At 34.5% G+C, this 13,082-nt stretch overlaps 1 protein-coding gene across 4 annotated transcripts in view; it reads left to right on the forward strand.

The window, feature by feature from the left end:
• The window catches only part of CNBD1 (cyclic nucleotide binding domain containing 1), a 562,238-nt gene that overhangs the window by 338,280 nt on the left and 210,876 nt on the right, over nt 1-13,082 (forward strand). For all 4 annotated transcript variants that reach the window (NM_173538.3, XM_047421411.1, XM_024447082.2 and 1 more), the window contains one exon: nt 1,299-1,444. In NM_173538.3, coding sequence (NP_775809.1) covers nt 1,299-1,444 — 146 coding nt within the window. The remainder of the gene's footprint in view (nt 1-1,298; nt 1,445-13,082) is intronic.

The following is a 13,082-nucleotide window of genomic DNA, read 5'->3' on the forward strand; positions in this document are numbered from 1 at the left end:
CAACTAATAAATGTATTACCACTAAAATAAACAAAAAAAGAAAAACCTCTGTCTTTACAGCCTGTGATATTATTTCCTTGCCACCTCCTGTTTGGCTGCTAAGTCAATGGCACATATTTTAGGTTTTGGTTATGATATCATGCCATTTCTAATACGAATTATTTCTTATTGCATCTGAAGAACAAATTTGTAAATGACATTAGGTAGGGAGCAAGTTTTCTCAAAACTATTTCTCAGGACTGTATACTAAGCTAGTATTTTTAAACTTTTTTTTTTTTGCTACAACCCAAAACAAAAAACACAATTTATATCATTCTATAAACACACACAGACATAAACCTGTATGCATACACATGGATACCAGATGGGCCAACACTATGTCATATCTAAACTGGGACTATTACTGTCAAACCCATATGTGTGGTATGGGTATCTGAAATTCCCTTTATGATGCTAAATTGGTTTTTCACATGAAATTTTAAAAATTTGCTTGAAAACTGCTGAGCATTTTGTATTTTTAGTAGAGACAGGGTTTCACCATGTTGGCCAGGATAGTCTTGATCTCCTGACCTCGTGATCCACCCGCCTCGGCCTCCCAAAGTGCTAGGATTACAGGCGTGAGCCACCACGCCTGGCCAACTGCTGAGTATTTTGAAATGGTATTTATGACAGCTAGGTTAGTCCTTTGAGACATCAGATTGATAGGAATTTTATATCCTGATTTAGTGTTACATTTATTGAAGAGTTTTAATGATTAAAAATAAATAATAAATACCATGTATTATATGATAATCATGTTTCATTTAAAAGTACATACGTATCTTTTCACTTAACGATTTATACCCTTAAGTGTTAAAGTATATTTCCATTTGATCTAACTTTAATAGTACTTAAAAGAATTAAGAATAAACAGTGGAAACAACATTAATCTTTTTAATATCTAAAAGAGGTCTTTATTACTATTATAATAACTACTGATAAGAGATGCAACTTTACAATAGGAGTACTGAGTTTTCTATTTAAAAAGAAGTTTTCTATTTAAAAAGAAATTTTCTATTTAAAAAGGCATTGTGTAATTTCCTAAAGTTTGAAGTATTGTGAAAGCGCATCTTAATGTCGGAAGGGTAACAAATCCTAAAGTTGATTAGTAAGAAAAAATAGAATAGCATCACAGTTCTTTTTTAAAAACCCTTAACTAAACAGAAAATACAAATTTGGAAACTTAAAAATTAAGGATCTGTTTGTTTCTTTGCATTTATGCCATGGTCTCTGAATTTGTATTTTTTTTTTTTTTTGAGGCCCATTCACAGGACGCCATATGAACACAAAACTGTGTGGAAGTTCCTGAAAACAATTCCAGATTTAACCTTTCAGCTAAATGATAAGCATCTGAAAACACTTAGTAAGACTGTCTTTTCCGAAACCTGGTTGAAAGGCAGCACAGGTAATAGACTAATGTGGGATAAATTTGGCGAGATAAAATGCAGGCCACTGTTTCGAGTTCTTTATCATTATAATGCTTATAATTTCACTTAACAATTTCAGTTGACATGGTAAAAATGTACTATTTGGGTGTGTTTCATTTGTAAGTTTATAAGTAGTGAAATGAATAACATCTCACATTTTAGTACTTAGAGTTTAAGATATATACTTGTGTTTCTCTGCCTGGAGCATGACTCAGAATTACCCAGTGATCACATTGAGACCCATATTGTCGGGTTTAAACATCAGAATTTCTGGTTCAGTAGGTATAGGATGAGGCCTCAATTTCATTTATAATACCTCAGGTGATGCCACCAGTGCAGGGACCACACTTGTGGAACCAATATCTGAGATACACATTTAGTAACAATATAGTGTTGATTTTCATAGGTAAAACAGCAGATAGTCAACATGATTATTTGACTAAGTCAGATACTAACCCAGATATAGGGAAAAAAGCCTCTCTAGATAGATTTTCATTTCCCAATTTTAGCTTTTGGTCCCTTCATGAAGGATTTAGTGGATATATTAATAGACTTGTTATATTTTAATTACGGGGGCTAGGCATATAATTTAATACATTCTTTATGTCAGAAGCATCCCTTTTTGTTCCTCAGAAAAATAAATGAAGGAAGATATTGCTATTATTATTCTCCACAGATGAGGACCCCGAGGCACAAATATCACACAGAGCATTCTTGCTTAGAATCGAGTTTCAAACACACTTCAGCCTAATTCTAACTTGTTCTCTGTGTATTATGTCACTGTTAGTACAAACTGGTTTATCAAGATCATGACATTTAAAACTTAACTGGAATTTTAAAGAATATGTGTCTATTGAAAAAATTTACATATTTCCAGAGTTTTCCCTCCATGGTCTTCTTTCATAATTAGTTCCATTTAATCTGTGATCAAGCAATGAAAAATAAATCAAAGGAATTTTAAAGGGGATAAAATAATTTTGAAAGGGAATAAAGGACAAACATTCAACATTGCTTTGCTATTAGATTGAGGATAGTAATTAAAACTTAATTTGTTTTATAAATCACTGAAAACATATTTGTAACAGTAAAAAATATGGGAACAATCTAAATGTCCTTGAATAGAAGATTGGCTATACATATTTTGATATATCTATTATATAGAATTCTAGACAGTGATTAAAAAGAATGAACTAGATTTATATATATTGATATGGAAACATTAAAGAGTAAATAGAATAATTGCAAATTATATTAATAACACATTTATGAAAAAATCTAAATTTATGCACATAGACACACACACACACACACACACATAAACATATATCTTTTTAAACTATACAAGTGGGTCCAGAAGGACATTTCAAAAATACATATTTTTAAAAATTGTTGCCTTAGTGTAGGGGAGTGAAATTGAGGGGTGATAAAGGGCTAAAATTAACTCTTTCTTCTACATATATTTGAGTTGGTTTTATTCTCTCACAATGTGTTTATTTATTTGTTAATATTTGTAATTATACATTTATTTTTTTCAAACATTTTCTAAAATTAAAATTAGAAACAAACATTTAATTTGATGGCACCTTAACTCACGTGATTGACGATTAAAATATGAATTTTCAATCTTTCACAAGTGTCAGGTATTCCAACTTGCATTTCAATAGGGTGTACTTTCAACACTTAAAAATTAGGAGACTCTGTGTTTACACCTACCTGTGTCAAAATCCCTCTCAAGTTTTTAAAGCATTTAGTTCCGACAGCTCAGATCTGTTTCACTACCAAAGAAGTCAACTCATTAAATATATGACCTTTGTAGATTTCTTTGTTCATCCAGTTTAGTAAAAAGGCCCAACTAGGTGTCTGTCTCTCTCCTTTTTCTTTATTCATGTATGTGTTTCCCTCCCTCTGCTATTATTTAAACTATTCCTTCTAGTAGCCCCTCATCACCAGGCTGCTGACTTTCAATCTGCTGCTGGGGCTTCCATTTCTCTGGTGCAATTCCACACAGCTGTTTGTACCTTCTGGTCTCTTTTCTGGCCACTAGTTCTTAAAGCCTCATTATTTAATAAAGCTTCCTAAACTTACCATTATTCACTAAGCCTCTTGATCATTCAGGTTTTATAAATAATCGAACAGTAATAGGAAAACAATATTATATTTCTAAGTAGTGAATAAAACACATTATGTGTGTCTAAGTTAAAATGCTACAAAAAATGATTACTATATTATTATATTATTTACTGACTATATTAATATTACTATATATGAGTACTTATATTAAAATTACTGTATGTAATGTATTTTACATATAGTCATCTCTCTATATACATGTGTACGTAGATATAATTTACTGAAGTCAAATGGAAGGATTTTTCATTAGATCACATTTTTATGGCCTGAACAAGGGACATTTTTATGATTGATAACCTAAAGCTCATGAAAACTAAAAGAATTGCCAGTTTAGTTACTAACCTGTAACAATATCCCAGATCAAACTTTTATTATCTAGCTTTATGTTAATATTAAAACCCATTTCTATAAAATAATGTTTTTCTCTTTTATATCTATGTCACCTTGACTGTTTTCTTTGTGTAGTCCTTTGTCTTACAGTATTATTTCTCTTCTATTTCTTTCACTTTATTTCATTCTGTAACCCACTTTTATGAGATTGTATCTCAAAAACTCCGTAATTCCTCATTTTCATTAAATTGTATATTTACTTTTAATGCTGAAAATATTTTTATATTACTAAGGTTCTAACATTTCTTTAACCTGCATAGATTTTATTTTCTGTTGTGGTTTATATTTTATTTAACAACTAAAAATATGGTAGCTAAATCTCATGAAATATGTAGTGGGCATCTTTTCTAGACATCAATTAACCATAATTCAAATAATTTATTCTTATAATAGAAGAAATAAAATCTTTAGCTGAGATTTAGTATAAATCCAGTCTTTATGTAGACTCATCAAGAAAAAAAGGAGATCCAAGAGAAACCCAGGAAAGGAAGGCTTCACTGCTGAATTTTACCAAATATTTTAAAAAGAATTAATATCAATTATTCTGACACTCTTCCAAAAATTGAATAGGAGGGTATATTCCCAGACTAATTTTATGAGGCCAGCATTACCCTGACACTAAAGGCAGACAAGTTAAATGAATTCAGTAAAATTGCAGGATACAAAATCAACATACAAAAATTAGTAGTGTTTCTCTACTAATAAAATATTCAAAAAGGAAAATAAGCAAACAATTCCATTTATGAATAACAATAAAAAATTACTTAGGTGTAAATCTAATCAAGGAAGTGAAAGACCTGTAAACTGTAAACTAGAAAATATTGATAAAAGAAATTGAGAAAAATAGTAATAAATAGAAAGCTGTGCTTTCTATGCTCATGGGTTGAAAAAATTAATATTGTTAAAATGCTCATACTAGTCAAATTGATCTATAGATTCAGTGCATTCCCTATCAAAATTCCAGGACATTTTTCACAGAAATAGAAAAACAATTCTTAAATTCATATGGAACCACAAAAGAACCCAAATGGCCAAAACAATTCTGAGCAAAAAGAACAAAGCTAGAGGCATCACACTCTCTGATTTCAAAATACACTGAAAAGTGATTATAATAAAAACACAAGGCAATGGCATAAAAACAGATATGTTGATATGATAAGGCTTTGTGTCCCCACCCAAATCTTATCTTGAATTGCATTGCCCATAATCTTCCCAAATCCCCACGTGTTCAGGGAGAAACCAGGTGGAGGTAACTAAATCATGAGGGCAGTCACCCCCATGCAGTTCTCATGATACTGAGTGAGTTCTCATGGGATCTGATGGTTTTATAAGGTGCTCTTCCCACTTTACTTGAGTTTTGACAAAGGTGCTAAAAACACTCAACAGAGAAAGGACAGTCTCTTTAATGAATGGTGTTGGAGATAAATGGTGTTTGAATTTATGAGTGACGACTTACAGTATCTGTAGAAGAAATTTCTAAGCAACAAAGTGATCAAGATATGGTCTGGCTATTTCTAACATCCTATGTTCAGATAAGGGAGCAAAGAAATGACTTAAAGTTGGAAGTTCTCTTTAAAGGGAAAGCAGAGCATGAGAGTTTTGAAAATTTGCAGCCTACCCATATAACAGCAACAACAAGAACAAAAAAGCTATTATGGGTGGAAGAATCCAAGAAGGCTGTGGAGCAACCACTTGTTAGAAATATTTGTGTGACTAAAAAAGAGCTAGGTGCTGATAGCCAAGACAGTGGGAAAAAGGCTTCAAAGGCATTTCAGAGATCTCCTAGGTAGACACTCCTATGATAGGCCCAGAGGCTAAGGATGAAACAATGGTTTTGTGGGCCTGGCACAGAACCCTGCTGCCCTGCATAGCCTCAGGATGCTGCTCCTTACATGCCAGCCACTCCAGCTGCAACTCAAAGGGGCCCATATATAGCTTGGGATGCCCCTCTGGAGGGTACAAGCCATAAGCTTTGGTGGTTTCCATGTAGTGTTAAGCCTGTGGGCATGTAGACTGCAACAGTGAAGAAGGCTTGGCAGCCTCTGCCAAGATTTCAATGGGTGTATGAGAAAACCTAGATGCCCAGGCAGAAGCCTGCTACAGGAGTAGAGCCCTCACAGAGAACCTCTACTAGGGTTATGCAAAAGGGAAATGTGGGATTGAAGGTCCTACACAGAGTCCTCACTAAGGCACTACCTAGTTGGACCTGTGGGAAGGGCACTACTGTTCTCTAGACCCCAGCATGTTAGATCTACTGGCAGCTTGCACTCTGCACCTGGAAAAGCTGCAGCTACTCAACTCCTACCCCTGAGAGCAACCTCAGGGGCCATACCCTGCAGAGACATGGGGGCAGAGCTATTCAAGGCCTTGGGAGCCCACCACTTGTACCAGTGTGCTCCAGATTTGGGACACAGAGTCAAAGGAAGTTAATTTTGAGTTTTAAGACTTAAGCCTTGCTGGGCTTCAGATTTGCTTGAGGCCTATAGCCTCTTTCTTTTGGTCAATTTATCCCTTTTGGAATGGGAATGTTTTTCCATTGCCTGTTTCCCCATTGTATCTTGGAAGTAAATAGTACTTTTTGATTTTATAGGCTCATAGGTGGGAGGAACATGGATTCAAACTCAGATAAGACCTTGGACTTGGGACTTTTGAGTTAATGATGGAGCAAGTTAAGACTTTTGGGGACTGTTGAGATGGGATAATTTTATTTTGGAATGTGAGAAGAATATGAGATTTGGGGGCCAGGGGCAGAATGATATAATTTGGACATCCCCTCCAAATCTCATGTTGAGATATAATCCCTAGTGTTGGAGATGTGGCCTTGTGCAAGGTTTCTGGTTCTTGGGGGTGGGTCCCTTGTGACTTGGTACTGTCCTCATGATAGTGAGTGAGTTCTCACAAGATCTGGTTGTTTAAATGTGTATGGCACCTCCCCTTATTCTCTCTCCTGCTCCTTCTCTCTCCATGTGATGCGTCTGCTTCCATTTTACCTTCTACTATGAGTAAAATCTCCTTGAGGCTTCCTCAGAAGCTGAGCAGATACCAGCACCTGCCATGCTCATGCAGCCTGCAGAGCCATGAGCCAATTAAACCTCTTTTCTTTATAAATGACCCAGTCTCATGTGTTTCTTTATAGCAATGCATGAATGACCTAACACATGCTATATTATAGAAACTCATATAACTTAGATATAATGAACAAGTTCAGATACAAACTATCATAATTGACTCAAAGGAAGGATAACTTGAAGAAGGATAACTAAAATAAATTAATGTATTAAATTGGTAACTTAATATTCTCACAAAGAAAATCCCTGACCCACATGGATTAATAATGAAGTCTATCTAGTACTTAAAGGAGAATTTAGAGCACAAGCAATGAACAGTTAAGAATAAAAATTAATTTATAAAAATGAAATTAAGAAATTCAGTTCAATTTGCCAATAACATCAAAAATATAACCTGCTTAGGAATAAATTGTACAAATGAAGTGCAAGACTTGTACATTGAAAACTATAAAACATTGTTGAAAGAAATTAAATAGAAAGTAATCCAATATTCATTGATCTACATAATTAATATTGATAAGATAGCAATACTATTTATATTGATCTACAGATTCAACACAATCCCTAACAGAAATACCAATTGTCTTTTTTTTGCAGAAGTTAATAAATTGATCCTAAAATTCATATAGAAATTTAGGAGATGCAAAACAGCCACAATATATTGAAAACAAATGATAAAGTTGAAGGACTCACACTTCTCTATTTCAAAACTTACTACAAACCTATAGTAACATAAAAGTGTGATATTGGCATAAATATATAGAGAGATCAATGGAACAGATTGAGTCCAGAAATAATGTTTTAACTTGATGGTCTATTGGTTTTAGACAAGGTTACTAAGACAATTCAGTGGTGGAAAGAAAACTCTTTTCAACAAATTATGCTTGGAGACCTAAATATCAAGATGCTAAATAATGAAGGTAGACCCCTAATTTACAACATACACAAAAAATTACCAAACATGAATCAAGGATATAAAGGTAATAATTAAAACTATAAAACTTTTAGAAGAAAAACTTAAGAATCTTCATAATCACAGGTTAAGCCATGTGTTTTTACACATAACACTGACAGTACAAGAGACAAAGAAAAAATTGAATAATTTGGACCTTATAAAAATTAAAATATTTTGAGCTTCAAAGAATAGAATCAATAAGGCAAAAATGCAGCCCTTGAAATGGAACACAGTACTTGCAAATCATATATCTAATAAGGGTCTCATGTCCAGAATATGAATAACTTGTAAACCTGAGTAACAAGAAGACAATTAACCCAATTTCGAAAATGAGTATATTAGCTGAATAGATACATTTTCAGAGAAGATATAAAAATAGCCAATAAGCACATAAAAATGTCCAACATTATTGTCATTAAGCAATTCCAAATAAAAATTACAATGGCATACTACTCCATCCCCACTAACATGATTAAAATATAAAAGAAAGTATTAAGCGTTGGTATGGATGTAGAGAAGTTGGAACTCATACATTTGTCTTGGGATTGTAAGATGAAGCCACTTTGTAAAACACTTTGGCAATTCCTCAAATATTAACCATAATGTTACATTTGCCCCATGTATTAGTCTGTTCTCACACTCCTAATAAAGACATACCTGAGACTGGATAATTTATAAAGGAAAGAAGTTTAATGGACTCACAGTTCCACATGGTTGGGGAAGCCTCAAAATCATGGTGGAGAGTGAAGGGGAAGCAAGACACATCTTACATGGTGGCAGACAAGAGAGAATGAGACCCAAGTGAAAGGAGAAACCCGTTATGAAACCATCAGATCTCATGAGACTTATTCACTACCATGACAACAGTATGGGAGAAACAACCCCATGATTCAAATATCTCACACTGAGTCCCTCCCACAACACATGGGAATTATGGGAGCTACAATTCAAGATACAATTTAGGTGGGGACACAGTCAAACCATACCATTTCACTCCTGGCCCCTCCCAAATCTCATGTCCTCACTTTTCAAAACCAATCATGTCTTCCCAACAATCTCCCAAAGTCTTAACTCATTTCAGCATTAACGCAAAAGTCCACAGTCCAAAGTCTCATCTGAGACAAGGCAAGTCCCGTCCACCTGTGAGCCTGTAAAATCAAAAGCAAATTTCTTACTTCCTAGATACAATCAGGGTACAGGCATTAGGTAAATACAGCTGTTCCAAATGGGAGAAATTGGCCAAAACCAAGGGGCTAAAGGCCCCATGCAAGTCCAAAATGCAGCTGGGCAGTCAAATCTTAAAGCTTCAGAATGATCTCCTTTAACTCTATGTCTCACATCCAGGTCACACTGATACAAGAGGTGGGTTCCCATATCTTGGGCAGCTCCACCCCTGTGGCTTTGCAGGATCCCAGCTACTTTCATGGGCTAGTGTTGAGTGTCTGCAGTTGTTCTTTTCTGTCACATCATCAGAATGCAAATTTTTTGAATTGTTATGCTCTGTTTTCCTTTTAAAACTGAATGCTTTTAACAGCACCCAAGTCACCTCTTGAATGCTTTGCTGATACCCTAAATCATCTTCCTCAAGCTCAAAGTTCCACAGTCCTCTAGGGCGGGGGCAAAATGCTGCCAGTCTCTGCTAAAACATAGCAAGAGTCACCTTTTCTCCAGTTCCCAACAAGTTATTTATCTCCATCTGAGACCACCTTAGCCTGGATTTTATTGTCCATATCACTCTCAGCATTTTGGTTCCAAACTTTTCCACATTTTCCTGTCTTCTTCTGAGCCCTCCAAACTGTTCTAATCTCTACCTGTTACCCAGTTTCAAAATCTTTTCCACATTTTCGGGTATCTTTACAACAGCACCCCACTCTACCAGTATCAATTTACTTTATTAGTCTGTTCTTAAGCTGCTAATAAAGACATGTCTGAGACTGGGTAATTTATAAAAGAAAGAGATTTAATAAACTTATGGTTCCATGTGACTAGCGAGGCCTCACAATCATGGCAGAGGGCAAAGTTGAAGCAAGACACATCACACATGGCAGCAGGCAACAGAGAATGAGAGCCAAGCGAAAATGGAAACCCCTTCTAAAACCGTCAGCTCTTGTGAGACTTACTGCCATGAGAACAGTATGGGGGAAACTGCCCCCATGATTCAGTTATCTCCCACCTGGTCCCTCCCACAACACTTGGGAATTATGGGAGCTACAATTCAAGATGAGATTTGGGTGAGGACACAGTTAAACCATATCACCCCAGAATTCCACTCCTAAATACACATCTAAGAAATGAAAATATACATTAATGCCAAACTTATATACAAATGTTTATAGCAGTATTATTCACAGTAGCCATTATGTGGAAAAAGACCAAATTTACATCAATGAGTGAAGAAACTTTTAAAAAATATGTGCATATCATTATAATAGAAAATTTTGGGGTGAAAAAAGTGATGAACTACTAATACATGCCAAAACTTGTGTAGACCTTGAAACCATTATGATAAAGAAGCCAGTCACAAAAGGCCACGTGTTTATGACTGCTTTTATATGAAATCTCCAGAATAGGCCAATTCATTTGGACATCAAGTAACATAGTGGTTGCCACCTTTGGGATATGAGGTAAGGGACATTATTGCTGATGCATAAGGTGGGCGGATCACGAGGTCAGGAGATCGAGATCATCCTGGCTAACATGGTGAAACCCTGTCCCTACTAAAAAAATACAAAAAATTAGCTGGGCATGGTGGCGGGTGCCTGTAGTCCCAGCTACTCCAGAGGCTGAGGCAGGAGAATGGTGTGAACCCGGGAGGCGGAGCTTGCAGTAAGCCGAGATGGCGCCACTGCACTCCAGCCTGGGCGACAGAGTGAGACTCCTTCTCAAAAAAAAAAAAAAAAAGAGTTTCTTTTGGGAATGATAAAAGTATTCTAACGTTAGATTGTGACGAGATTCAATGTATCTTTACATATAGTAAAATTCAACGGAATTGTACATTTTAAAAGGGTGAATTTCATTGAATTGTATCTTTAAGCCTTTTAAAAAATTGGGATAATGTTAATCTTTTAGAGTGTACAATTCAGTGACATTTAGCACATTAAAAATATTTTGGAACCATCACAGCATCCAGTTCCCCCAAAATTTCTATCATCCTAAAATGGAAGCCCATGCCCATTAAGCAATCACTCACCATTCCCCTAAACCCTGGTAGCCACTAGCCTGTTCTCTATTTCTATGGTTTTATTTATTCTGAACATTTTGCATGAATGGAATCATACAATATGTGACCTTTTGTGTTGAGTTCTTTCGCTTAACATAGTGTTTTCGTGGTTTATCTGCATTGCATTATGTACTTCATTGTACCTCATGAGCTGTTAATTGTTTCTTTAATAGCTGAATAATATCCTCTTATGTAAGCTATTTTTAAAATGCTTTTTAAAAATCAATTGGAGACCAATGGACACCAATAATGCAAGCCAGCTCCTAGAGAGCCCTGTGATTGAAATCAATTTCTTTTAATAAATTTGTTTAATATGAAAAGAGAAATACAAAAGAAATTTTAAAAATCCACTAGAAATGGGTTAGCTGAGACAAACTCTTTCTGTGAAATGATTTAAACAAAGTTAAGTAAAATGAAAAATTAGCATATCAGAGACATCAGTATGCCACCATACATTGAATATATCATACACGTACACTACACAACTTCAGAAATATAATTTACCTGTGTTTTCCCACTCCCCTCAGAAAGCACCTTTGCATAACATACTGTGTGGAATTCTGTCATATGAGAAAGAAATTTATTTCTTATAGATTTTCTATAATCTCTTATATTAGAGTAACAGTATTTTATGATGTGTACATTCCTTTTACTACCATTAATCCTTTGATAGACAATCCTCTTAGCTGTGCAGGATAAAGCTCACTGTCCCTTTCTTATGTTTGAGGACTCTGAGTTTCAAAATCTTACTAGTTCTACACCAGTGAAGGGTAGAAGCAAGCCTTTTGAGTCTGGGTCTTCTGAAGCCAACCTTTAGCTTTGTTTTACCCTTTTCCATGAATTACATTTTTCCATGAATAAAATTAAGCTATAGTATCAAGGAAACTTGTTTGTTAACATGTATCATCAAAGAGCCTTCACTAGAATAATATGTGGCATTAATTGATACAGGTTTTGATGGGTAATCTAAAATATCTTTGCTGAAATACTGGCTTATAGAAATCAGTGCCATTGCTTTTACGATCTTTTCTAGTGTGAGAACAGTCTTGCATGGTGATGCTAATTCTCTCCCTGTTATCTGTTATCAGGAGAATGGCTCTTGATGTAATATGTCCTTTTTATGGCACTGGCCTGAATTTAATGTTCAATGTAAATTTTAATCTTTTAAATGTCTGCAAAATAAACTCTTTTTTATGAAAGTGACACCAATAAGAGAGTGAAGATGATTTTTAATGGCAAAGGAAAATAATAAATATGTGTTTATTTTAAAACTTAGAGCATTGAAAAATGTGATTATATGGCACATTATAAATAGACCAAAAGTCAAAAGAAGATGTAAAATAAACTTCTAATAAGATGTATTGGCTAAAAATCTTGTGTTTTATGGGAAAATGAATCAAATCGTCACTCAGTTTTGTACCCATAAGGGGATACAGTTTTATCCCCAAGTAATTGGAGATTTAGTAAAATTGACACATTTAGGATTAAAATGTGGTATGACTTAATATTAGAATCAGAATGAGGATTTCAGAAAAATATTGTGAGTCATTATGTACTTCAATCAAAATCTAATCTAGACAACAAACATGGAAAAAATAAGATTGCATAACAATTATTGGTGAATTTTAAGGTAGATATTTTTTATTAAGCTTTTTTTTTTTTTTTAAATAGCCACAGGGACTGTTAAATGTTAATGTCTGAAGTTAAAATAACTTTTTCACTGGAGAGAAAAAAGTTTGACTTTAATAGCCAACTATTCATGATATTTATTATCAGAAAGAATGACTGAAGAAACCAATTCTAAAGCTCATATTATTGTTTTTGTAGATTATTCTCAAGATTGACTGGCTTAT

The sequence above is a fragment of the Homo sapiens genome, chromosome 8 (genome assembly GCF_000001405.40).
Source record: "Homo sapiens chromosome 8, GRCh38.p14 Primary Assembly".
Lineage (NCBI taxonomy): Eukaryota > Metazoa > Chordata > Mammalia > Primates > Hominidae > Homo > Homo sapiens.